The sequence below is a fragment of the Homo sapiens genome, chromosome 9 (assembly GCF_000001405.40).
Source record: "Homo sapiens chromosome 9, GRCh38.p14 Primary Assembly".
NCBI classification, from domain to species: Eukaryota; Metazoa; Chordata; class Mammalia; order Primates; family Hominidae; genus Homo; species Homo sapiens.
This window is the reverse complement of record NC_000009.12, coordinates 137,649,064-137,676,334: the sequence shown is the minus strand read 5'-3', so window position 1 is coordinate 137,676,334 and position 27,271 is coordinate 137,649,064. Positions and strand designations below refer to the sequence as shown.

Below are 27,271 nucleotides of genomic sequence, written 5' to 3'. Positions count from 1 at the left end.
CACTTTGCAGGGCCGAGGCAGGCAGATCACGAGGTCAGGAGATCAAGACCATCCTGGCTGACACGGTGAAACCCTCTCTCTACTAAAAATACAAAAAAAATTAGTCAGGCGTAATGGCCGGGCGCGGTGGCTCACGCCTGTAATCTCAGCACTTTGGGAGGCCGAGGCGGGTGGATCATTTGAAGTCAGGAGTTCAAGACCAGCCTGGCCAACATGGTGAAACCCCATCTCTACTAAAAATAAAAAAATTAGGCTGGGCGCGGTGGCTCACGCCTGTAATCCCAGCACTTTGGGAGGCCGAGGCGGGCGGATCACGAGGTCAGGAGATCGAGACCATCCCGGCTAAAAACGGTGAAACCCCGTCTCTACTAAAAATACAAAAAATTAGCCGGGCGTAGTGGCGGGCGCCTGTAGTCCCAGCTACTTGGGAGGCTGAGGCGGGAGAATGGCGTGAACCCGGGAGGCGGAGCTTGCAGTGAGCCGAGATCCCGCCACTGCACTCCAGCCTGGGCGACAGAGCGAGACTCCGTCTAAAAAAAAAAAAAAAAAAAAAAATTAGCCGGGCGTGGTTGGTGCACGCCTGTAATCCTAGCTACTTAGGAGGCTGAGGCAGGAGAATCGCTTGAACCCGGGAGGTGGAGGTTGCAGTGAGCCAGCCTGGTGACAGAGCGAGACTCTGTCTCAAAAAAAAAAAAAAAAAAAAATTAGCCGGGCGTGGTGGCCGGCACCTGTAGTCCCAGCTACTCGGGAGGCTGAGGCAGGAGAATGGCGGGAACCTGGGAGGTGGAGCTTGCAGTGAGCAGAGATCACGCCACTGCACTCCAGCCTGGGCAACAGAGCAAGACTCTATCTCAAAAATAAATAAATAAATAAAATTTAAAAAGTAAAAGAGAAAATGAACTACTCATGCTCCCTCACACCAACCCCCCTATTGGTCACCAAATTCTATGCCTCCTAAATATTCCATCAAATTCCACCGCTACCTTATTTTAAGCCACATTATTCTCAAGTCAGTGGTAATAGGAATAATCTAGCAACTCATTTTTCTAATTCCAGCCTCTCCCCTTTTCAGTCTAGCATCTATTCTGCAGTTAAAATTATCTTTCTAAAATTGTGACCTTACCATCATCTTCTTTAAAAATTCAGTGGCTTCCCACTGCCCATGGAATCAAGTTCACACTTCATGACAAGGCACAGAAGGAGCTACAGCAATCTAGGCCAGGCGTGCGGCCCCCGGGCCAAATCCAGCCCAGCCTGCTTTCTTACTTCCCACAAGCTAAGAATGAATTTTTTTTTAATTTTTTAAGTTGTAAAAATAAAAAAGAATATGCATCAGAGACCTTACGCGGCCCACACCCCACATACCTGGTCCTTTACAGAAGTTTGCAGATTTCTAACCTAGCCCAATGATTTTCAGGTCAGAAATCCTATGTGCCAGTCACACTGAGCTACTTAAAATTCCAGCAGCAGTAGGGCCCAGACCATCACCCTTCCCCCTGCTTCCCGCGACTCTCCAACTATGCAGCGAGCTTTTGGGGCTCAGATGGCCCTTGCAGCTCATCACGGGCTGCCCTGTGGTGACCCACACAAGCCTGCCTCCCACTTACAAAAGGAGCCCCAATCCACCTTTGCAACCCGGGCACCTAGCATGGGCACAAAATACGTATTCTACAACTACTGGAAGAATATACTCTAAGATGATGATTAAATATAAATGCGGGTCTCACACATCAAGAGGTGAGTCGTGCAATCGTAGGCAGACTGCAGGAGGCAAGGCACAGGCGGCGCCACAGCTACCTGGACTTGCTCTTCTAGACCAGACAGAACACAAAGAAAGAGCGCTGGAGCCGAGAGTCAGGGCATCTGGGGACACTGGCCAACAGTGAGATTCTCCGTCAGCCTGCAGAGTGTGGGAGAGCCAGAAAAGGGGACGGAATTCTGAGAGATTTTACTGTGGGTTTTAATTTATATCATGTTGGTGCTCTTTGATAGATGCCAGTGAAGAGCACAATCCTGTTTAATGTCTTTCGGCACCTGGAATTTGGTCTCAGAACAGGGCTCGATGGAGAGGTTGGCCTTCAGGAGGCCCTGGTGCAGGCGGGTCACACGTGCAGCCCCCCTCGCCCCACCACTGCCTCGTAAAGGGCAGCATGTGTTACGGTGCTGGTTTTCTAAGCTCACTGCGCTCCAGACCCTGTGAGGAATGCCTTGGTGTTTTAGAACGTCTCCCTGCCCACCCTGGATCGCCCCACTGCCTCTCTCCACTAACCGTATTTCAAACAGTGTGTGAAAAAAGCAGCTTTAGCTGGTCAGCACCTTGTCTGGGCCTCCTGGGCTCTATTCCAAGACAACAGATTGTCCTGCCCCCAATCAAGGCCTCAGCCCCCAGGCTCCAGAGAACAGTACAGCCCTAGGAGGGACCCACAGACTCTCAGGTCCTGCTAGTATTGGCTCCGGGAGGCTAAGTAATATGTTGACACATACAGATGCTGTTTTTTAATCTTACTATATTCATAGTAATTGTGTCATTTTCCATCTTTTCAATTCATACATACTCTCACACAATTACCACCATGAAATGACGGGCCTTAACATTTTTCTAATGTGAGAAACAAGTTTTGAAGACACTGATGAACACTGGCAGCCCCGGCCAGAGCCTCCCTGAGGGCAGGGCCAGTGCCAGGCAGGGCAGCAGCGCAGTTTCGCCAGGAGTTGTCTGGTGTAAAGCACAGGCTGGGAGTGCGGGTCTGAGGGAGGGACACAGACATGACCTCCACACACTCCCTGGCACATCCTCGAGGCCGGAGCTTCACACTGCCTTCAGCTCAGCCACCAGGGACACTGCAGCTGGACACAGCTGCCCTGCCTCCCAGGACACCCATCTCCTCTTCAGAACAACATGAGACATAAAAATAAGGCTGTACAGAACTTACACACCATGAAAAAATGAGAAGCCTATTTCTTTTTTCAGATCAGAAGAGCAACGTGAGCAACGGTCCTATCAGAAATACAACAAATATAAAAGCAGCAGTCGAGAATGGTGAGGGACCACAAACCCCTGGGGACTTGGTCCAGGCCAGCTCTGAGCACCACCAGGCACCCAGACTAGCACACAAGTAAGGGGTGCTCAATAAACACCTGCTGGGAGGTTCCTACACACTCTAGGATGTCACTCTAAGATGAGACAACCCTGATGCAAAAGGAAGGTAAGGTTCTTTGCTAAGCACTTCAAAGCAGAATCATCTTAAATTGGCAAAAAAGCAACCCATATAAAACTGGTTCTCAAGCTCCATCCAGCCCGGTGTCAGCCTTCGGACCTAGAACAAAAGCACCACCTTGTGGTTAGAAGTGTAAATGCAGGCTTAAACCTGCATGCAGAAAACCACAAGGTATAGTAGTAATATTAATAAATTCTCTGCAATCGGTAAAGTTCCTGGTAGAAGACCACATTCCTACTCATGTCAGAGATTGTTTTTTAAATGTTTCCACAACACTGCTCTGTAATACGATTGAGATAGCATGGGAAAACAAACACACACTCATGGCTGAATTTCATTCAAAATCTCCATGTTGATAAAAAGACATTAAACCTAAGGAGTTGACTATTTTGAAGGATATGACACAAAAATGTGAAACTTATCCCCAATCAGAATGTCAGCTCTACGAGAGGCAGAAACTGGTTGGTTGGTTGGTTAGTTCACTGCAGTACTGCGCCAGGCGCTTTGGTTTACGGTAAAACAACAATTCCCAAACTTTTCATTCTCAAGACCACGTCACACTCTAAACACACTGAGTACCCCAAAGGGATTTTGTCCACGAGTTGCCAGAATGGCACCAAGTTAGTGTTACCATGTCAAAACCTCCTGTACAAATAAAATAAACCTACTACGTGCTAACATAAAATTTACTTTATGAAAATGCCACCGAGTTAGTGTTACTATGTCAAAACCTCCTGTACAAATAACAATAAACCTACTACATGTTAACATAAAATACTTTATGAAAATGGCATCAAGTTAGTTTTACCATTTGTCAAAACCTCCTGTACAAATAACAATAAACCTACTACGCGTTAACATAAAACACTTTATGAAAATGAAGTATTCTTTTAAAAAAAGAAACAAAAGTGATACGGTTTTACATTTGTGCACCTATCTTTTCCAGTCAGCAGAGCCAGATGCTCACACCGCCTGCTGCACGCCCTCTATGGCACTATCACACATCTCGTGCCTGACACTCAGCACAGAATGAGAGCGAAAGGTAAATAATGCTTCACATCTGTATGTAGCCGGAGCCCTGGAAGAATCCTGGGGTCTCTGCACTGTCATGTCTGCTGGACAGGAAGTGCTGGGGGAGCTTCACTGAGTGCAGGGAGAAGGGGCGCAGCACGAACACAAGGACTAAGGGGCCACGGCCTCTCCACAGCCACATGTCGGGGCAAGGCCTGGACCACAGCACTGCAGGGTTGGGGTCCTTATTTCATCAGGATTCCAAGTATAGGATTCAGGCCCAGGCACAGTGGCTGATGCCTGTGATCCCAGCACTTTGGAAGGCCAAGGCTGGTGGAAAGCTTGAGCTCAGGGATTCAAGCTCAGCCTGGGCAACACGGCAAAACCCCATCTCTACAAAACATACCCAAAAAATTAGCTGGGCATGGTGGCACACGCCTGTAGTCCAAGCTACCTGAGAGGCTGTGGTGGGAGAATAGCTTGAGCCCGAGAGGCAGAGGTTGCAATGAGCCAAGGTCACACAACTGCACCCCAGCCTGGAAGACAGAGCGAAACTCTGTCTCGAAAAAAAAAAAAAAAAAAAAAGAAAGAAAAGGATCCAACTCTTCGGGTCTTTGGGTCGCTTTGTTTTGACAGGGCATTATCTAACTTCAGGGTCATCTTCCCTTCAGGTTTTTACTATATGTTTTCTTAAGTGATAAGCGTTAATCATATGAATTGTTACATATAAATGAGGGTTTCCATTAATTTTTTCTTACTGTAAAGCTAATACATGCTCTCTGTAAAAAAACTTTATTATATTCCAAAACATACAAAATCACTGGCAATCCCACAATTCAGAAATAACCAAGTTAACTTTTTGTATATTTCCTTCTGCTTTTTTCTTACACTGAATGAAAAAAAATTAAGAATTTCCGCTCACTTATTAGCTATAAAAGGGTTAACAGAATAATTATACGGGAAAACAGTTAACTATAGGCAAGACACCCTCACTAATCTGTAAGTCAAGCACACGGTGGCCCTGGAAGGGTTCAGAGTTCTGACACAGCTCACGGCCCGGGACAGCCCTCTGTTACATTCAACCACGTGCACAGCGGCTTACCCTGGAACAAGAGTCACACAACAGTGGACGATGACAAAGCCAAGCCAAGACCCACAGGCCAGAGGGTGTGGCCACAGGAGGTAGGGCAGCAAGAAAGAGAAAAGGTAGCCTGCACTCCGAGAAAGCCCTCCCAGAAGGAAGACGGCGGCAAAGGCGAGCGGACAGAGAATGGAAAGGCAGCTCTGGCTTCTCCTTCCCCTGGACACAGCCCCCAGGAGAGCGCTAAGCCCCGCTAGACCCCAGGGAGGCTACACGAGGAAGACGCGCAGACAGGCCCGTAGGAACTGGAGCCAGGAGGGGCAGGGCCTCAGTGAGGACTAACTGGTTCCCTGGGCTGATATGCTGCAGACCTGCCCCCAGAAGGACAGGTGGCCAGGGAAACCAGTCAGAAGAGAGAGGCGCAGATGGGAGACTGAGGAAGTCAGAAGGCAGAAGCACCTGCAAGAAGGGCAAAGAGGAGGGAGGCAGATGGGAAGCCATGAAGGGAGCAGGAAACGGAGCTCGCACGTGGGCACAGGACACCAGAGTCCAGAGGCTGAGCTGCACCCAGCACCGGGGGGAGGGGGCAGGATAGCAAGGCCCAAGGACTAAGTGAGGACACTACCGGGTCAGGGCAGGAGAGGGGACTAGCCAAGGGAGGAAGGCTACCGACAGAAACCTTAACCAGGATGGTTTTGTTGCCCTGGGGGTGGAGGTGCAAGGTCTGACTAAGGATCTAAGGGAGAATGAGGGAGGATGCACACACCATGAAAAAAACACAAATCTTTGGAGGAGTTTGGCGCAAAGAAGGGCAAAGAACTGACGTGAAGCTGGTGGGAAGCAGGATCAAGAAAAGCTTTTTTCAGCCCAGGCGCGGTGGCTCACGCCTGTAATCCCAGCACTTTGGGAGGCTGAGGCAGGCGGATCACTTGAGGCCAAGAGTTAGACACCAGCCTGGCCAACAAGGTGAAACCTCATCTCTACTAAAAATACAAAAACATTAGCTGGGCGTGATGGCACACACCTGTAAACCCAGCTGAGGCTGTGTGGGGAGGCTGAGGCAGAACAATTGCTTGAACCCGGGCGGCAGAGGTTGCAGAGAGCCGAGATTACGCCATTGCACTCCACCCTGGGCGACAGAGCAAGACTCCGTCTCCAAAAAAATCTTTTTGGCCCAGGCATCATGGCTCACACCTGTAATATCAGCGCTTTGAGAGGCCCAGATGGGAGGATCACTTAAGGCCAAGAGTTCAAGAACAGCCTGGACAACATAAGGAGATTAATTTTTTTTTAAAAAAAGAGAAAAAACAAAAGCAAAGCTTTTTTTTACATAGGGACACAAGTCTGTGTACTAAAGGCAATGAATGCTCCGAAGAGAGCAAAAAGTGAAGGTGGGGGAGGGGCCAGGGAAGAGCTGCTGGAGCGGCTGCGCCCTGGGTAGACAGTGGGTGGAGTCGGTGAGTGCACGTGCTGTGCGGGGCGTCTTGGGAGGAGTCGAGTGCACGTGCTGTGCGGGGCGTCTTGGGAGGAGTCCAGTGCACGTGCTGTGGGGGGCGTCTTGGGTGGAGGTGAGTGCACGTGCTGTGGGCGGCGTCTTGGGTGCAGTCGTGGAGTGCACGTGCTGTGGGGGGCGTCTTGGGTGGAGTCCAGTGCACGTGCTGTGGGAGCGTCTTGGGTGGTGTGGGGTCCACGTGCTGTGGGGGCGTCTTTCCAGGGGTCCTCAGTCTGCTCTTTAAGCAGGAGACCAGCACCCAGCAAGCAGTAAGCACTGGGCGAGAAGGGTGCAGGGTGCGAGAGGGAAGACGAGACATGAAGGATACATCAAGAACCTACTTCTAGGCCGGGAACAGTGGCTCACGCCTGTAATCTCAGCACTTTGAGAGGCCTAGGCAGGCGGATCACCTGAGATCAGGAGTTCAAGACGATCTTGCCCAACATGGTGAAACCCCGTCTGTACTAAAAATAGAAAAATTAGCGGGGGTCAGTGGCGCACGCACGTGGTCCCAGCTAATCTGGAGGCTGAGGCACAAGAATGGCGAGAACCTGGGAGGCGGAGCTTGCAGTGAGCTGAGATTGCGCCACTGCACTCCAGCCTGGGGGACAGAGCGAGACTCCGTCTCCAAAAAAAGAAAACAACTTGGCATTTACTCCAGTACTTAAAACAGACAGTCACCATATGAACCAGTTATCCCATTCCCGGGATAGCCGAAGAAATGAAAACCCAGGTCCACACAAAAACTCGTACATGAATGTTCATGGCAGCACTGTCCATTAACAGCAAAAAAAAAAAAGAAAACACTAAGTTAAGTGAAAGAAGTCAGGCACGAAAGACAACAGAGAACAGGCAAATCGACAGGGAAGGAAAGCAGATGAGTGGTTGCCAGGGACTGGGTTGGGGGAGTGGGGGACACGGGAAGGAACTGCTAATGGTATAAGGTTTCTTTTCAGGATGATACAAATGTTCTGGATTTCTGGTGCTCTGTCCACAAATATACTCAAGTTTCAGTACTAGTAGTTCTGGTATATAGTAAGTCATTAATATGTGATGGTTGGTGAATAGATGGATGTGGACAGGTGAATGGATGAGTAGGTGGGTAAATAAATGGATGGGTGGGTGGTGAGGTGGATAGTAGACAGTAGATGGATGGATGGATGAGTGGGTGGGTGTATGTGCCAGGTGGTGGGTGGGTGAGTGGTGGGTGGGTGAATAGAAGGGAGAGGAAGGAGAATGGAGGAAGAGGAAGAAAACAGGAGGAGAAGGAAGCAAGGATTTTTCTTCTAGCAGGATCCTGCAAGTCCCAGGTCAGTTAGACTCTCTGGAGTAGACAGCTGGCGCCCAAAGCCATCAGCACTCCTTGTCTTCTCGATCAGTGCGTCCCTTCTTCCTTTTGTCTTCCTTCACCTACTTGTCTGCCTCCCCACTGGTCCTGCCTCTTCTCCAAGGTCGAAAGGAAGAAAGCTGTTCTGCAAAAGTCTATAAAGGAGGTGGAAGCTCTCCTTTGCAACACCCTCTCACTTTTCTTCTTGTACAAGGTGCAGTCCCTCTGAGAGGTCCTATGTGCCATCTGCCACAATTCTAAAAGGTAATTTACCCTGAAGGTAAAGATAATTTGGATAGGCTCTTTTCTGGATTCCACGAAACCAAATAAGCAGCATACACTCTCAAAAAGACAAATTCCTATAAGATTTCAGATGTCAAAAAGGCCAGACCCGTGTGATAAGCAGCACAACAGCGTTTTCCTCCCCGAGTTCTCTAAAAATACAACGCTTTCACTGTAGACAATTTCCTTTCAAGAAAACACACCAAAACTTCTACTTTACATGAACTTTTCCTCTTGGTTATTTTTTTGTCCCCTATTCACAGTGCTTCAAGCAGAAGCCAGAAATCTCTAATGCTAAAATCCACCACCACCCCATCTCTAAAATTCTCTTCAAATAAAAAACAAATGTCTACTTAAGCTACAGCCTCCCGGGTCCTGCTTTCCCCACATGCCAGCCTCTGCCCGTGCCCCAGGACTGCAGTCACACACCTGCTGCCCGTCTCCTTCAAGCCACCCTCTCCACAGAGCGGGGAGGAGGAGGAGGAGTAGAGTGAGGCCAGAACCAGCAGATACCTGACCTCCACATGGCCTGGGGAAATGGCTCCTAGAAAAGTACAACATTTTCAACTCCAAAGAGATGAGAACAAATAATCTCTAAGGGTTGAGCTAACCCAGGTGGAGCTGCTAACATTAACCACCGTTAAAATTTACATCACAGGTGTTCAAAAACATTCCTGCATCAGCACATTTGCATACCTGGTTAAACAGTTCCTCTCAGAACCACTACCCAAAACAGTGCCAATTTCCAGTGCACAGCATCCCCACAGACGCCACTGCTGCTGGGGACACGTGAGCGATGGCACTGCCCGGGCTCACTGAGTGGCCTCCACCGCGTTTCAAGGGCAGGCACAAAGGAACGCCCTATTGTTCCCTCGTCCTCCTCATGCTGTGCGCTGAGCTGGAGTTTCCTCAGAGCTAGGAGAGAAGCCTACCATCCCCCACCCTTTTGTTCGAAGAATACGGTTCTAGAACAGGCAGCTATGAACCAATCTGCTCTAATCCTGTTATTTACAATTAATTAATTAATTAAAACACAGCCCTCCTCACTAGGTCTCTCCCTAAGATGTGCCCAGCACTTGCTTGAGCAACGTCTTATTTTCTGTGGAATTGCTTAGAAAATCCAAGTGGAGACTCTGCTGCCTCTCTACCCTCCTCACCATTCCACGGAAAATGGAGTCTCCCAATGAACACGCAGACAGGATCATCACACAACCCACACGTGTGGACGGGGACTACACAGGCTCCGAGGGGGAGGCTCTGTTCCCAGCTCTCCTGATGAGTGGTCAATGCCATCCTCACAGCCAAGGCGGACAGATTTCCTTTTCTGCAGCCTGCATGGCAAAGAGCCAGCTGCACCGTGGCACGGCCAGCCCTTGCCCTGCACAGCCTGGCCTCTGGTCCCAGGGTCCCTGGTTCCTGCTCACCTGGCAGTGTCATCCCTTCCCAGCCTCACTCCCTCCACCACTGAGGCTGCCATGGGGGCAGGTAGGAGAATAAAACAGGAAAACACTGCTAGTCAGCAAAAAAGTTCAAGCACGCTCTTTATAAATGTTCAAACAAGGGAAAAAGTCCTGGTTTATCATCAGCATAACTGAAAAAGGTCAGAGTTCCTCCTGCTACCAGCAAATGTGGAACGGGCCTGAGCTGTTCTCAGTACCCTCAGTTGGAGGGGACCTCCCATCCCACTCCCAAGAAAGTGCACATGGTGGGTGACCAGAGAGCAAAACAGGGTTATTTTGGCAGGCAAGCGGCATGGAGGACAAGGAGGTGTCCCCACCATCACAGCAAGCGTCCCTGCTCTGCAGGCCCTGGCCCCAGCCTAGAAGCACCAATGTAAAAGAAAGAGGGATTAAGCAAAAGAAAAAAAGTACCAAATACCACGTTTCTTGCTTGTACCCCATCACTTTTTTCCTCCTGTCTTAGTGCAATTGTTGACTGCGGCCAACTGCAGAGAAATCACAGTAGCCCAGCTCGGCGGCTCCCTCTGAAAGCTCCACGCACTGGGCATGCTCCAGAGCCATCTCACGAAATGGAGGCTGCCCCAGCGGCAGGATTCCAGAGCTGCACGCGGCCGCCCAGGCACCTCCAGGCCTCCTCGGAAGCTGCTTAAACCCTCGCATTCACAACCATTTTAAAACAATCAGTGTTCTCAGATGGAAACCATTTAACGAGACATTTATTGTTTTCACCCTAAAACGTGAAGGGTCCCTCCACAGAAACCATCAACACAGCTCATCCCACAAAGCAATCACTGCTCGTAGGGCCTCTCAGGATTAGCTCTGTTGAAAAAATACTAACAAAAACCTAGACATGGAATCTGGGGACCAGCCCTCTCACAAGGAACTCAACTCACAGAGACATTTTACCTCTGGGGCCAAGAGCCCACAACATGACAGTGGGTAGGAAAGCAAACAGAAAACACCAGCTCGCAATGCGCACCTCCCACCGGAGCTCCTGTCCCAGTGCCAAGCATACCAGGGCTGGGTCTCAGGGCAATGCTTCTGCCACAAGGAGTAGCTCCAGGACGCACCTGCACGACGCAGGTTCGAGCACAGCAGTCTCCCCACACTCAGGCTGCTCCTAAACATCACCTCCTATGCCCACCCCAGCTCCAAATTTCTTACAGGGAGAGGCCCTTATACACCTATGCCAGCTCTCCAATCAAGACCAAGTTGTTTGTAGCTCTTAATACAAAACAATAAATATTTGAAGTCCTTTTTCTATAAAAATAGGGAATATTTTTTAAAATAGTGTATTCAGGTTCCAGGCAAACTGCAAAATAAAAGCACAAATATTATTTTCTATTTTTAAGGTCACATGAAAGTAAATAACACCAATCCTTCTCTATAAATGCTATTCTATAACTCCCCCACGCTTTCTAGTACAGTATCAGTGTTGACTGCCCAAGAGTTGCAAAGTGGGTGGTCCAACAGAGCCAGGCCCGCAAGCTGTGCTTACCAGCCAGGGAGGAGACGCACCAACAAAACACCATGTCCGAAAAGCAATGCAAGTGATTCCTCTTTAAGTACACAGGTTCCGCCCAGCCAAGAGCAAACAACCCAGACATGGGACTCCAAGTTCAAATGTAGAAAACACAATGTCAACAGATCCATCTTAAGGCAACAGAGCGTGGTCATTTACAAACCTATCTGCAACCCACACAGAAACCCAAGAGAATCCTGCCCTCCACCTCGGCTCCCTCCCCCATATGGACAAAGAACAGAGAAGGCAAACTAAGGGAAATAAATGCATATGACTAATAAAACAAATGCAGCTGAAAATACATTTAAAGCAACAAAGACGCCATTTTCCACTTATTGAACTGGCAAAAAAAAAAAAATTAAAGTCTGTCAATGAGAGTATCGGGCCAGGCGCAGTTGCTCACGCCTGTAATCCCAGCACTTTGGGAGGCCAAGGGGGCAGATCGCCTGAGCTCCAGAGTTCGAGACCAGCCTGGCCAACATGGTGAAACCCAGTCTCTACTAAAAATACAAAAATTAGCCGAGTGTGGTGGAGGGCACCTGTAATCCCAGCTACTTGAAAGGCTGAGGTTGCAGTGAGCAGAGATCACACCACTGCACTCCAGCCTGAGCGACAGAGCACGACTCAGTCTCAAAAGAAAAAAAAAAAAAAAAGTATGGCTAAACAGGCAATTCTCATTTAATAAAATCTCTCTGGGGGCAACTTGGCAATAGTTATCAAATTTTAAAAACACACACCACCAGGCTCAGTGGCATGCACCTGTAGTCCCAGCTCCTTGGGAGACTGGGGCAGCAGGATCACTTGAGCCCAGGAGTCCAAGGCCAGCCTGGGCCACACAATGAGAACTCCATCTCTTGAAACAAAAAAAGTACATACCTCTTGGTTGAGCAATTCTCTATTGGTAGTATAATTTTACTTATATATAATCTGTAAAATATATAATCTGTAAGATAAATTTTTGCAGAATTTATTATGCATATACTATATAGTACTTAGTTTGTAGTAATAATACACAGTACATATAATACGAATAATGGTATATGTGTAGCTTACTCTACAGATATACTAGCAAAAGTTCCCCAGATCACAGGGAACAAGGACATGCATTCCACCTTCTCTCCAGGTGAGAGGATCTGAGTCCCGCCCACAGAAGGCTAGTTATAGACATTGTTATTCCCCTACAAGGGAATATCCAAAAGCCCTTGCAGAGGGTAAGAAAAGGCTGGTGTGCTCGCATGGGAAATCACAGAACAGGGTGTCTATGATACCAAGACTCGTGTAAGAGAACAGAAAGATGCTGGTATGTGCACAAACATCTTTTTGGAATGAATTATAAGAAATTATTAATAGTGTGACATGTTTAAGTAAGATTGAGAGCAGAAACGGAGATGGGAAGTCTTTTACTCTGCAATATGCACCTTTTCTTACTATTTAGTTTATGTTTCTTTTTCTTTCTTCTGTGGACCTCAAGTGTGCTGAGGATTCTGAGCAGTCCACTCCAGCACACAGGACGCTGCTACCACTGCTCCATGCTGCTCTTCACCTGGTCAGCACCCATTAACCCACCACTCACAACAAAAACCAGGATCTTGTCAAGAATCGACACCTAACCAGCCATATGGCCCACATCACCCCATCATTACTGCCTCTTCCTGCTCAAGCCAACTATCAGAACAAGAACCATAGGCTGTAGCTTCAAAGAAAGTCCCCAAATTAACAGGCTAACAGCAAATCCATCTAAAGAAGGTACAAATGAATAACAAAATAAATTCAAAGAAAGGAACAGGAAAGAGATAATAAAATGAGTGGATATCTATACAATAAATATAGGTTAAAAATTCCAGGCCAGGACTGGGCGCGGTGGCTCACACCTGTATTCCCAGCACTTTGGGAGGCCGAGGCAGGTGATCGCCTGAGGTCAGGAGTTCGAGACCAGCCTGGCCAACATGGCAAAACCCTGTATCTACTAAAAGTACAAAAATTAGCCGGGCATGGTGGCGTGCACCTGTAATCCCAGCTACCCAAGAGGGTGAGGCAGGAGAATCGCTGGAACCCAGGAGGCAGAGGCTGCAGTGAGCAGAGATCGCACCATTGCACTCCAGCCTGGGTGACAGAGCAAGACTCTGTCAAAAATAAATAAATAAATAAATAAATAAATAAATAAAATTCAGGCCAGCCGCGGTGGCTCACGCCTGTAATCCCAGCACAAGATCAGGAGTTCGAGACCAGCCGGGCCAACACGGTGAAACCCCATCTCTACTAAAAATACAAAAAATTAGCCCAGTGTGGTGGCAGGCATCTGTAATCCCAGCTACTCAGGAGACTGAGGCAGGAGAGTTGCTTGAACCTGGGAGGCGGAGGTTGCAGTGAGCTGAGATCATGCCACTACACTACAGCCTGGGCAACAGAGCGAGACTCTGTCTCAAAAAAGAAAAATTCTAGGCAAGGTGCGATGCCTCACACCTATTATAATCCCAACACTTTGAGAGGCCATGGTAAGCAGATCACTTGAGCCCAGGAGTTCAAGACCAGCCTGGGCAACATGGAGAGACTCCATCTCTACAAAAAATACAAAAATTAGCTCGGGATTGTGGCATGTGCCTGTAGTCCCAGCTACTCAGGAAGCTGAGGTGGAAGGATCACTTAAACCCAACAGGCAGAGGTTGCAGTGAGCCAAGATCTCAACACTGTACTCCAGCCTGGGTGACAGAGTGAAACCCTGTCTGGAAAAAAAATATCTAAACAAAAATATCAGCAATTTGAATTCAACAATGTGTAAAAAATATATATATACTATCAGCAGATATTGTTGGGTAACTCACCCCATTAATAGATTTCTTGGCCAGGCGCAGTGGCTCATGCCTGTAATCCCAGCACTTTGGGAGGCCGAGGTGGGCAGATCACCTGAAGTCAGGAGTTCGAGACCAGCCTGACCAACATGGTGAAACCTCGTCTCTACTAAAAATATAAAATTAGCTGGGCATGGTGGCGCATGCGTGTAATCCCAGCTACCTGGGAGGCTGAGGCAGCAGAATCACTTGAACTCAGGAGGCGGCGGCTGCAGTGAGCCGAGATTGCAGCATTGCACTCCGGCCTGGGCAACAAGAGGGAAACTCCATCTCAAAAAAGAGAAAAAAAATAGATTTCTTTAAAGATGTAGAAAAACAGCCGGGTGCAGTGGCTCACGCCTTTAATTGGGAGGCAGAGGTGGGTGGATCACCTGAAGTCAGGAGTTTGAGACCGGCCTGGCCAATATGGTGAAACCCTGCCTCTAGTAAAAATACAAAAATTAGCCAGGCATGGTGGTGCGCACCTGTAGTCCCAGCTACTCGGGAGGCTGAGGCAGGAGAATTGCTGGAACTCAGGCGGTGGAGGTTGCAGTGAGCCGAGATTGCGCCACTGCACTCCAGCCTGTCAACAGAGCAAGACTCCATCTCAAAAAAAAAAAAAAAAAAGATGTACAAAAACTACCTGGGGTAAAATTCAATACTCAAGTATGATTTTTACAACTCAGTAAATTAGGAATGGAAGAGCATTTCCTTACTCCAATAAAAAAGTATAGTTCTGTTGAGCAGTCTAGGAAAAAAATAGTTTTCAAGTATTAAAAAAATAAACACCATCCTAAATAGGAAAATATTGGAAACATTCCCTTTAAAATCAAGAATAATCATGAAAAGCAAACAGAAACTAGAGAGATGGATAGATATATAGAATGATAAAGCAAATGTGGTAAAATGTTAACACTTGGGGTATCTGGGTAAAAGGACCTATGGGAATTCTATGTATTATTTTTGCAACTTTTTTTGTAAGTCTAAAATTATTTCAAACTAAAAATTTAAAAAAGTCATAAAAATAGACAAAACCAAGAATAAAAACATCCACTAGCATTGTTTCTTTTCGACATCATATCGTGTCCTAACCAGCACAATTAGACAAGGAATCTGAGGCCTGGGATTAGAAAGGAAGAAATAAAACTGCTATTATATGTTCTACAAAGTATTAGAAATAATAGTAGAGCTTAGCAAGATGATGGTAGGAAAGGTTAAATACTCAGTAGTCAGCTGTGTGGTTATTCTACAACAGCAGTAAACAATTAGCTGCTGTAATTAAAGAGAAGCCATCACTTACGATGGCATCAGAGAATCATCAGTTATCTAGAAAGAAACCTGCAAAAGATGGCAAGACCTCTACAGGAAAAATTGTAAAATTTCATAGAAATATTTCTTAAAAACTAAATGAAGAGAGAAATATACTGTGCTCACAAATAGTCAGATATATTGTGAAGATGTGGATTCACACAAAATTGATCCATAGATTCAGTGCAATTCCAATTAATATCCGAACAGGATTGTTCATGAAATTTTATGATTCTAGAGTTAATATTGAAGAATAAGTGGCCAAAAATATCCAGAACGCCACTGCACTCCAGTCTGGCCAAGAGAGTGAGAGCCTGTCTCTAAAAAAACAGAAACAAAACAGAAACCCCCACACATTTGAACTGTGGGATACGGTATGACAGGCTGACGAAGAAAGGAGGGCTTGCTCAATACCTAAAGCTAGGAAAAATGATTATACACATGAAGAAAGATGAGGAAAAAATTTTTTTGAGACAGGGTCTGGCTCTGTAACCCAGGCTAGAGGGCAGTGGTGCAATCTCAGCTCACTGCAACTTCTGCTTGCCTCCCAGGCTCAAGTCATCCTCCCACCTCAGCCTTATTAGCTAGGACCACAGGCACGTGCCACTATGCCCAGCTAATATTTGTATTTTTTGTAGAGATGGTGTCTCACTTTGTTGCCCAGGCTGGTCTCGAGCTCTTGAGCTCAAGCGATTCTCCTGCCAGCCTCCCAAAGTGCTGGGACTACAGGTGTGAGCCACCACACCGGCACATGAAGAAAGATGAAATCGAATCCCTGCTTCACATGATTTACATTAAAAAAAGAAAAAGGTCAATCACAGAAAAAGGTCAATTACATGCCAAAAACAAAACCTCGGCTAAGCACTACCTATCTAGGTAAATACATTTTGGACTGCAAGAGAAAGAAAAGTCTCTTAAAATACAAAAGGGGGCCAAGCGCAGTGCCTCACATCTGTAATCCCAGCACTTGAGAGGGCGAGGTGGGCGGATCACTTGAGCCCACGAGTTTGAGACCAGCCTGGGCAACATAGAGAAACCCCATCTCTGCAAAAAATACAAAAATTAGCCAGGTGTGGTGGTACATGCCTACTATGGTGGACCATCAGTAGTAGGTGGTCCCAGCTACTCGGGAAGCTGAGGTGGTACAATCACCTAGGCAAGGGAGGTCAAGGCCGCAGTGAACCATGATTGCACCCACTGCACTCCAGCCTGGGCAACAGAGACTCTGTCTCCAAAAAAAAAAAAAAAATTTTTTAAAGGGACCCAGGCATGGCGGCACACACTTTCATTCCCAGCTACTTGAAAGGCTGAGGTGGGAGGACTGCTTGAGCCCAAGAGTTCAAGTCCAGCCTGGGGAACATAGCAAGACCCTGTCTCTAAAAATAATTAATTAATTAATTAATTAATTTTAGAAATACAAAAAGGACTGTCAAACTAGGAGACTATATTCATAATACACAGAAACAACAAAAAATTAAGAATATACAAAGAACTGCAAAATAATAAGCACAAAGCATGAAAAAATGGGCAAAGGACATCTATAGACATTTCACAGAAAAGCCAACCAAGTACCACATTGGAGATGTTCAACATTAATAAGAAAAGAAGAAAAACCAAAAATAAGAAAAATACATTATGTTTTGGGAGGAAAACCCTGGAATAAGATCTAGTATTTGATGGCACAACAAACATAATGTATTTAGATGTTCAACATTAGTAAGAAAAATAAGAAAAACCAAATAAGATGATAATGACATGCCGTTTTACACACATTCAATTGACTCAAACTCAAGGAAAGAGGATGTGGGCTTGCAGGATGTCTACGATGGTTCAGCAGTTCCACTCCAGCCCAAGAGAAAAGACAACCACAGAAGTGTTCCTGGGCTGGCACAGTAGCTCATGCCTATAATCCCAGCACTTTGGGAGGCTGAGGTGTGAGGATCCCTTGAGGTCAAAAGCTTGAGACCAGCCTGGGCAACACAGTGAGACCTTGTTTCTACAAACACACACACATAATTTTTTAAAAATAGCCAGGTATGGTGGTATGCACCTGTAGGCCCAGCTACTCAGGAGGGTGAGGTGGGAAAATCGCTTGAGCCTGGGAAGTTGAAGCTGCAGTGAGCCAACGTCGCACCACTGCACTCCAGCCTGGGCTACAGGGCAAGACCCTGTCTCAAAAAAAAAGAAAAATTCATTTTTCTATGCAATTTTATAAAAAGCCATTAAAAAAAAACAAAAGATAATTGCAGATGATGATAAATAAACCAAGGTAAAGGGACAGAAACACAGGAGAAGCTACCTTAGATACAAGAACCAGGGAAAGCAATTCTGAAGTCTGAAAAAGACCATTCTGGGCGCTGGGTGCGGTGGCTCACGCTTCTAATCCCAGCATTTTGGGAGGCTGAGGCAGGTGGACCACTTGAGCTCAGGCGTTCGACACCAGCCAGGCCACTATGGTGAAACCCCGTCTCTACTAAAAATACAACAATTAACCGGGTGTGGAGGCACCAGCCTGTAATGCCAGCTACTCAGGAGGCTGAGGCACAAGAATCACTTGAACCCAGGAGGCGGAGGCTGCAGTGAGACAAGATCATGCCGCAGCACTCCAGCCTGGGTGACAAAGTGAGACCAAATGGAGAAAAAGACCATTCTGGATAGGAAGAGCCGCGAGTGACAGAAGGAAGGAGAACGAAAGAAGCAGAAGGTAAAACGTGGCACACAGGCACAATGAGGCAGTATTCAGCCATGAACAGAATGAGATCCCATCATCCACAACTAGGATGGAACTGGAGGTCACTGTGTTAAGTGAAATCAGCTGGGCACAGAAAGACAAACTTCACATGCTCTCATCTATGTGGGGGAGCTAAAAATTAAAATGACTGAACTGATGGAGATGGTAGAGTAGAAGGACGTCTAGGGGCTATCACTTGTAGAAGCAGTATTAAAAAAAAAAAGTAGAAGGATGGTTTGCAGAGGCTGGGAAGGGCAGTGGAGTGGAGGTGGGGAGTGGGGGTAGAAATGGTTCATGGGCACAAAACATAGAGTAAGAACTAGTACTTGATAGCACAGCAAAGTGACCAGAGTCAACAATGGTCTATTGCACATCTTAAAATAACTACAAGAGTAGAACTGCATGGTCTGTAAAACAGGATCAACGCTTGAGGTGATGGACACCCCAGTTACCCTGGTGTGATTGTTATGCACTGTATGCTTGTATCAAAACATCTCATGTACCCCATAAATAAATACACCTACTATGTACCCACAAAAATTGAAAATAAAAAATTTTTATTAAAAAAAAAAAAAAGCAACCAGGTGCACTGGCTCCCACCTACAATCCCAACACCCTGGGAGGCCGACTTCCACTCAAACCACCACCCTCTCATCCTAACGAGCGCGACAGCCTCTCACCTCACCTGCTGCACCCCTGCAGCCAACTCTCAACACTGCCACGAGAAAGACACTGTTAAAACAGAAGTCACATTCCGCCACTCCTCTGCTCAGAATCTCCCAGTGGTCCCTCTAGGAGAAGCCTATGAGACAATCACCCCTCTTCAGCTGAGCTGGCTGCCCCACGCCTTGCTCCTGCTGCTTCCTCAAGACTGCAGCCACACGCTCCCCACACCACTGCCCATGTGCCCTTCCTTGTCTACACCGGCCATAACACACAAGTTCCGTCTGTTTTGTTCACTGCTACACCCCCCAGACCACAGCATGGAGCAGGTACCTTGCACTTGCAGGATGAACAGACAAAAGTAAAAGGGTGGCCAGGCACGGTGGCTCACACCTGTAATCCCAGCACTTTGGGAGGCTGAGGCAGGCAAATCACTTAAGGCCAAGAGTTCAAGACCAGCCTGGCCAAAATGGTGAAACCCTGTCTCTACTAAAAATACAAAAATGACCCAGGCGTGGTGGCACACACCTGTAATCCCAGCTACTCGGGAGGCTGAGGCAGGAGAATCGCTTGAACCTGGGAGACAGAGGTTGCAGTGAGCCAAGATGGCACCATTGCACTCCAGCCTGGGGGAATAGCGAGACGCTGTCTCAAAAATAAAATTAAAATTAAAATTAAAAAAAAAAAGGAAGGGCATCCAGCTGTGGGTGAGAAGCAGGGAGAGGCCCAGCACGGCCCTTGGACTCATGCCCCCTGCCTCCTGGGTGTACACATGTCCCCTGGACATATGCCCCTGCCTCCAGTCCACAGCACAGGCCCAGCCTGGGCACAAGGCAGTCAAGAAAGCGAAGCCCAGCATGGGCACTGTGCCTCTAGATAGATCCGCACAGGGCCAGGAGCCTGTGTTGATTAGGAAGACAATAGTTAACAGGAAACTTCGAAATCTAAGTGTCATCACTCTAACCCAAAATCTCCCATTTCCTTCCAGTGTCTCTTCATAGCTATACATTTTTGTTTTTTGTTTTTGTTTTTGAGATGGAGTCTCGCTCTGTCACCCAGGCTGGAGTGCAATGGTGCCAACTCAGCTCACTGCAACTTCCACCTCCCAGGTTCAAGTGATTCTCCTGCCTCAGCCTCCTGAGTAGCTGGGATTACACGCGCACGCTGCCATGCCCAGCTAATTTTTATAATTTTAGTAGAGATGAGGTCTCACCATGTTGGCCAGGCTGGTCTCTAACTCCTGACCTCAGGTGATCCGCCCACCTCGGCCTCTCAAAGTGCTGGGATTATAGGTGTGAGCCACTGCGCCCAGCCATATGTACACATTTTATATGGTTATGAGCTATATAAACAATTTTTCCCTTGAATATTCCAGCATGTCTTCATATTCTTCAGTTATCACATGAATGGCAGTGTATTTCATAAAGTAGATATATCATAAAGCATTAAAACATTTTTATATCACTGATAATCAGTGATCTTTCAGTTTATCATTACTTTAAAACAGTGGTCCCCAACCTTTTTGGCACCAGGGACTCATTTCATGGAAGACGATGTTTCCATGGACAAAAGGTGAGGAGGGTAGCTCAGGAAGAAACTGTTCCACCTCAGATCTTCAGACGCTAGATTCTCATAAGGAGCACGCGACCCAGATCACTCGCATGTGCAGTTCACAACAGGGTCCTCGCTCCTATGAGAGTCTAATCCCACTGCTGATCTGGCAGAGGCAGAACTCAGGCAGGGATGCTCAACTCAAAGCCTGCCGCTCAAGTCCTGCTGGGTGGCCCAGTTCCTAATGGGCCACTGACCAGCACTCCACAGCCTGGAGTTTGGGGACCCCTGCATAAAAAACACTATTAGCATCTTCATGTAAATGGTAATTATTGTGAACTCATTCATTCATTCTTCAACAGCACTGAGTGACACCTAATATATGCAACGTATTTTATCTTCCTCATTAAGGAAAACTCCATAGGTAAGATTCCTGGGTCCTTTCATGGGTAACAATAGTTCTGGTCTGCTGGGCAGTAAGGAGGTCTTTTTTAAGCAGCCTCTACCAGTGAGGTTGCCAGTGTAGTGCCTGAAAATAGTTAACGGCCAGGCGCAGTGGCTCACGCCTATAATCCCAGCACTTTGGGAGGCTGAGGCGGGCAGACCACCTGAGGTCAGGAGTTCGAGACCAGCCTGGCCGAAAAATGGTGAAATGCCGTCTCTACTAAAAATAAAAAAATACAAAAATACAAAAATTAGCCAAGCGTAGTGGCGTATACCTGTAGTCCCAGCTACTTGGGAGGCTGAGGCAGGAGACTCTTTTGAACCTGAGAGGAGGAGGTTGCAGTGAGCCGAGATCATGCCATTGCACTCCAGCCTGGGTGGCAAGAGCAAGACTCCATCTCGAAAAAAAAAAAGAAAAGAAAGGAAAAAACAGTTAACCACCTGGTACCTTCCTGCTGCAGTCCCTGAATACCAAGGTCCTTGACACCACCTCTGCTGTCCACGCTGGCCTGTCTAAGCCATAGGCATCAGCATCCCAGCTTGGCTGTACCCCACCACCTGGCCCAAACTCTGACCACCCTGTGGGCTCAGAACCATGTGCACTGTTCACTTCCCTGTTCAGCTCTAACGTGCTTCTCCTGGTGTCTGTCCAGATAATGCCATGTTCTGGGGCATGGCAGGCCCAGCCTTTACTCAAGCCTTCAGGCATGTACTGCCTCCCCAGCCACCCTCTCCAGTCTGGCCCACCTCACTGGGCCCCAGCTGGCTTCTGTGCAGAAACTAACAGGATGACCTAAAATTCATATGGAAACTTAAGAGACCCAGAATAGCCAAAACAATCTGGAAAAAGAAGAACAAACTTGGAGGACTCAAACCTCTCCATTTCAAAACTTACAACAAAGGTAAAGTCATCAAGACACTGTGATACTGGCCTAAGGAACAACATCTGATCAATGGAAGAGAACTGAAAGTTCAGAAACAGACTCACATATTTATGGTCAATTAATTTTTCTCTTTTTTTTTTGGTGGGGGGGAGGTGGTAAGGGGTGGGGGGTGGGGTCTCCTCGCTCTGTCGCCCAGGCTGGAGTGCAGTGGTGTAAACTCAGCTCACGGCAACCTCCATCTCCCACGTCCAAGCGATACTTCTGCCTCAGCCTCTTGAACAGCTGGGACTACAGGCACCCACCACCACATCAGGCTAATTTTTGTATTTTCAGTAGAGATGGGGTTTCGCCATGTTGGCCAAGCTGGTCTCGCACTCCTGACCTCAGCCTCCCAAAGTGCTGGGATTACAGGCGTGAGCCACCGCGCCCAGCCTATGGTCAATTAATTTTTCAATGAAGCCATGAAGACTATTCAATAAAAGGAGAATCTTTTCAGCAAACAGTGCTAGGACACCGGGAGAGCCATATGCGAAAGCGTGAAGATGGACCCCTGCTTCATACCATATACAAAAAGCACAGGGAAGTGTTTCTCAGCAATGGGGATACCTTCTGAGAAATGCATCAAGGAGGAGAAGTTCCAGTACTGGCATTGTCTGACTTGTTGAAAATCACTTTGCTTATTTTATGCACCAGTGAAAATGAGAAAATCGGCCAGGGGCAGTGGCTAACGCCTGTAATCCCAGGACTTTGGGAGGCCGAGGCAGGCGGATCAGGGTCGGGAGTTCAAGACCAGCGTGGGCAACATGGAGTAACCCCATCTCTACTAAAAATACAAAATTAACTGGGCACGGTGGCACATGCCTGTCATCCCAGCTACTCGGGAGGCTGAGGCAGGAGAATCGCTTGAAACTGGGAGGCAGAGGTTGCAGTGAGCTGAGATCACACCACTGCACTCCAGCCTGGGCGACAAGAGCAAAACTCTGTCTCAAAAGAAAAAAAAAAGAAAGAGAAAATCAAGCCCTTAGTCTTCCCGTGTGCCAAGCACTGTCTTAGGTGCTTTATGCAACCATGCATCACTTAACTACGAGGATACCTTCTGGGAAATTCAACGTTAAGCAACTTCACTGTTCTGTGAACATCACAGACTGTACTCACACAAACCTAGATGCCTACTACGCACCGAGGCTATGGGGTAGAGCCTATTGCTCCTGGGCTACAAACCTATGCAGCATGTTACTGTGTTGAATACTGCAGGCGACAGGAATATAATGGTAAGTATTTGCATATATAAATATATCTAAGCATAGAAAAGGTACAATAAAAATACAGTATAAAAAATAAAAAAGGGACACCTGTATGGGACACTTACCATGAATGGAGCTTGCAGGGCTGGAATTGGAAGTTGCTCTGGGTGAGTGAGTAGTGAATGAATGTGAAGGCCTAGGACATCACTATACACTACTGTAGGCTTTATAAACACTGTACACGTAGGCTACACCATCTAAGGCCAGGCACAGTGACTCCCGCCTGTAATCCCAGCACTTTGGGAGGCCAAGGCGAATGGATCACCTGAGGTCAGGAGTTCAAGACCAGCCTGGCCAACATGGTGAAACCTTGTCTCTACTAAAAATACAGAAAAGTTAGCCAGGTGTGGTGGCAGGTGTCTGTAATCCCAGCTACTCAGGAGACTGAGGCAGGAAAATCGCTTGAACCTGGGAGGCGGAGGTTGCGGTGAGCCGAGATTGCACCACTGCACTCCAGCCTGGGCAACAACAGCAAAACTCCATCTCAAAAAAAAAAAAAAAGTTTAACTTCTTACACTTTTTTGTTAAAAACTAAGATACACTAGCCAGGCGCGGTGGCTCACGCCTGTAATCCCAACACTCTGGGAGGCCAAGGTGAGTGGATCACCTGAGGTCAGGAGTTCAAGACCAGCCTAGCTAACATGGCAAAACCCCACCTCTACTAAAAATAAAAAAACTAGCTGGGCGTGGTGGTGCACACCTGTAATCCCAGCTACTCAGGAGCTGAGGCAGGAGAATTGCTCCAACCAAGGAGGCAGAGGTTGCAGTGAGCCAAGATCGCACCACTGCACTCCAGCCTGGGAGACAGAGTGAGACTCCGTCTCAAAAAAAATAAAACTAAGACACACTGGCCGGGCATTGTGGCTCACGCCTGTAATCCCAGCACTTTGGGAGGCCAAGGCAGGAGGATGACTTCAGCCTGGCTTGGGCAACATAGCAAGACCTCATCTCTACAAAAAAAAAAATTAACTAAAACACAAACACACACATTAGCCAAGGCCCACACAGAGTCAGGATCATCCGTATCACCGTCTCCCACCTCCACATCTTGTCCCCTAGAAGATCTTCAGAGGCACTAACATGCATGGAGCCGTCATCTCCTATGGTAACAGTGTCTTCTAGACTCCTCCTGAAGGGCCTGCCTGAGACTGTTTTACAGTTAACTTTTTTTTAAATAAGTAGGAGTACACTCTACAATAATGGTAAAAAAGTATAGTACAGAATAGTAACTACATACACCAGTAACATAGGAGTTTATTATCATTATCAAGCATTAGGTACTGCACATAACTGTATGTGCTAGACTTTTAGACAACTGATAGCAGAGTAGGTTTGTTTACCTGAGCAGGACACATAATGCCTATTGCTAGAGCTTTAGCATGTCCTGGGCAATAGGAACTTTTCGGCTCCACTACAATCTTTTTTTTTCTTTTCTTGAGACGGCGTCTCGCTGTCACTCAGGCTGGAGTGCAGTGACACAATCTCGGCTCACTGCAACTTCCACTTCCCAGGTTCAAGCATTTCTCCTGCCTCAGCCTCCCAAGTAGCTGGGATTATAAGTGTGTGCCAACAGGCCCAGCTAATTTTTTGTATTTTTATTTTTGGTAGAGTCAGAGTTTCACCATGTTAGCCAGGCTGGTCTTGAATTCCTGACCTCAAGTGATCCGCCTGCCTCGGCCTCCCTCCCACAGCGATGGGATTACAAGCGTGAGCCACCGCACCTGGCCAGCTCCATTATAATCTTACTGGACCATCATCTTATATGTTGTCCATCACTGACAGAGACATCATTATGTGGCCTGTGACTATAATTCAAAATAGATCAAAGATCTAATTAAAAGAGCTAAAACTGTAAAACTCATAGAAGAAAACAGGCACAAATCTTCATAATCTTGAATTTCAAAAGTGTTTCTAAAATAGGACACAAAAGGCACAAGCAACAAAGAACAAAGGGATAAATTAGACTTTATCAAAATTAAAAATGTTTGTGCTTCAAAGGATACTATCAAGAAAGTGAAAACACAACCCACAAAATGGGAAAAAATATTTACAAGTCCTACATCTGCCTGGGTGCAGTGGCTCACACCTGTAATCCCGGCACTTTGGGAGGGTTCCAGTTTTTCCATATCATCGTCAACACTGGTGGTTTTGTTTTGTTTTGTTTGAGATAGGGTCTCACTCTGTCACCTACCCAGGCTGGAGTGCAGTGGTGCAATCACAGCTCACCGCAGCCTCGAACTCCCAGGCTCGTGATCCTCCCACCTCAGCCTCCTGAGTAGCTGGAACCACGGGTGTGCACATATTCATATTCATATGGCAGCGGGAAGATTGCTTGAGCCCAGGAGTTCAACCAGCCTGATCAACACAGTCTGCACAAAAAATTAAAAAACAAAAATTAGCCAGGTGTGGTGACATGTGCCTGTGGCCCTGGCTACTTGGGGGGCTGAATTGGGAGGATCACTTGGGTCCAGGAGGTCAAGGTTGCAGTGAGTTGTGATCACCCCACTGCACTCCAACATAGGCAACAGAGTGCAACTGTCTCAAAAAAAAAAAAAAAAAAAAGCGGGGGGTCCTATATCTGATAAGGGACTTCCCTCTATAATATATAAAGAACATCTGTAACTCATTAATAAAAAGACAACCCAATTTAAAATGGGCAAAGGATATAAACAGGCATTTCTACAAAGAAGACATACAAATGGCCAATAAGAACATGAAAAGACGTTCAACATCATTAGTCATCAGCAACATGCAAATCAAAACCACAATGAGATACTACTTCACACTCCCTAGTTTGGCTATAATTTTAAAAATGAACAACAGCTGGGCAAGGTACACCTGTAATTACACATCTGTAATCCCAGCACTTTGGGAGGCCAAGGTGAGCAGATCGCTTGAGCCCAGGAGTTTGAGAATAGCCTGGGCAACATGGTGAAACCCCATTCTAAAAAAAATGTTTAAATTAGCTGGCATTGTGGCCCACACCTGTGTAGTTCTAACTATTAAGGAGGCTAAGGCGGGAGGATCACTTGAGCCTGGGAGTTTGAGGCTGCAGTGAGCTGTGACTGCACCACTGCACTCCAGCCTGGGTGACAGGGTGAGACCCTGTCTCAAAAAAAAATAAATAAATAAAATAACAAGTGTTGGCGACGATATAAAAACTGGAACCCTCATTCACTGCTGGCAGGAATGTTAGATGGCACAGCCACCATAAAAACACAGTTCCTCAAAGGTTGTCCCACAATGAGACCACTGTAGCTTGACATGCAATTGTAAGAAGTAACACAGAGACTCCGTGTACACTTTGCCCAGAGCATTAATCTCCTGCAGTTACCTTAACAAAGTATCATAAATTGGTTAACTTAAAACAACCTAAATTTATTTTTATCTTTTCGCAGTTCTGGAGGCCAGAAGTGTGAAATCCGGCTGCTGGCAGGGCGTGGTCCCTCTGAAGGCTCCAGGAAAAGAGCACTTCCTTGCCTCTTCCAGCTCCGGTGGTGTAGGCCATCTTCTCACTCCCTGGTTCGCAACACTTGGCTCCCACCTCTGCCTCCGCTGCTGTGGCTTCTTCCCTGAGTCTGTGTCCTCTTATGGACACCAGTCACTAAATCTAGGGCCCACCCTAAATCTACGACGACTTCATCTCAAGATCCTTAATTAATTACATCTGCAAAGATCCTACGTCCAAATTAGGCCCCATTCTCAAGTCATGGGTGGATCTGAATTTGGGAGGACATTTTTGTTTGTTTGTTTGTTTGTTTGTTTGTTTGAGTCGGAGTCTCGCTCTGTTGCCCAGGCTGGAGTGCAATGGCGCGATCTCAGCTCACTGCCACCTCCGCCTCCCAGGTTCAAGCAATTCTCCTGCCTCGGCCTCCGCAGTATCTGGGATTACAGGCACCCGTCACCACATCCGACTAATTTTTATATTTTTAGTAAAGACAGGGTTTCCCCATGTTGACCAGGCTGGTCTCTTTGGCCAGGCTGGTCTCAAACTCCTGACCTCATGATCCACCCGCCTTGGCCTCACAAAGTGCTGGGATTACAGGCATGAGCCACTGCACCCAGCCGGGAGAACACTATTTCTGAAGTCACGGGTGGATCTGAATTTGGGAGAACACTATTTCTGAAGTCACAGGGGAATGTGAATTTGGGAAGACACTACTCA

The 27,271-nt window shown here is 47.1% G+C and overlaps 1 protein-coding gene across 31 annotated transcripts in view, besides 5 other annotated features; it reads right to left on the bottom strand.

Annotated features, from left to right (window-relative positions):
• EHMT1 (euchromatic histone lysine methyltransferase 1) overlaps positions 1-27,271 on the bottom strand; it is a 217,123-nt gene that overhangs the window by 159,793 nt on the left and 30,059 nt on the right. For 5 of the 31 annotated variants that reach the window (XM_011519021.4, XM_047423880.1, XM_047423874.1 and 2 more), the window contains exon 1: positions 10,283-10,413. The exons of 24 other annotated variants lie outside the window; for them this stretch is intronic. In XM_011519021.4, the coding sequence (XP_011517323.1) occupies positions 10,283-10,312 (30 nt within the window). In that variant the 5' untranslated portion in view covers positions 10,313-10,413. Of the gene's footprint in view, positions 1-10,282; positions 10,414-11,369; positions 11,418-27,271 lie in introns of those variants that run through there. 2 more of the 31 variants (XM_047423879.1, XM_047423877.1) reach the window with 2 other exon arrangements.
• Positions 1,148-1,664: an enhancer, noted in NCBI's record as "H3K27ac-H3K4me1 hESC enhancer chr9:140569123-140569639 (GRCh37/hg19 assembly coordinates)". NCBI's record gives its function as "activates a minimal SCP1, AML or CMV promoter by ChIP-STARR-seq in naive H9 embryonic stem cells {active_cell/tissue: H9 hESC(naive)}" and the evidence as "EXISTENCE:reporter gene assay evidence [ECO:0000049][PMID:30033119]".
• Positions 2,789-2,898: an enhancer, noted in NCBI's record as "active region_29359". NCBI's record gives its function as "activates an Ori minimal core promoter by ATAC-STARR-seq in GM12878 lymphoblastoid cells {active_cell/tissue: GM12878}" and the evidence as "EXISTENCE:reporter gene assay evidence [ECO:0000049][PMID:35858748]".
• Positions 9,333-9,402: an enhancer, noted in NCBI's record as "active region_29358". NCBI's record gives its function as "activates an Ori minimal core promoter by ATAC-STARR-seq in GM12878 lymphoblastoid cells {active_cell/tissue: GM12878}" and the evidence as "EXISTENCE:reporter gene assay evidence [ECO:0000049][PMID:35858748]".
• Positions 10,743-11,424: an enhancer, noted in NCBI's record as "H3K27ac-H3K4me1 hESC enhancer chr9:140559363-140560044 (GRCh37/hg19 assembly coordinates)". NCBI's record gives its function as "activates a minimal SCP1, AML or CMV promoter by ChIP-STARR-seq in naive H9 embryonic stem cells {active_cell/tissue: H9 hESC(naive)}" and the evidence as "EXISTENCE:reporter gene assay evidence [ECO:0000049][PMID:30033119]".
• Positions 11,480-11,984: an enhancer, noted in NCBI's record as "H3K27ac-H3K4me1 hESC enhancer chr9:140558803-140559307 (GRCh37/hg19 assembly coordinates)". NCBI's record gives its function as "activates a minimal SCP1, AML or CMV promoter by ChIP-STARR-seq in naive H9 embryonic stem cells {active_cell/tissue: H9 hESC(naive)}" and the evidence as "EXISTENCE:reporter gene assay evidence [ECO:0000049][PMID:30033119]".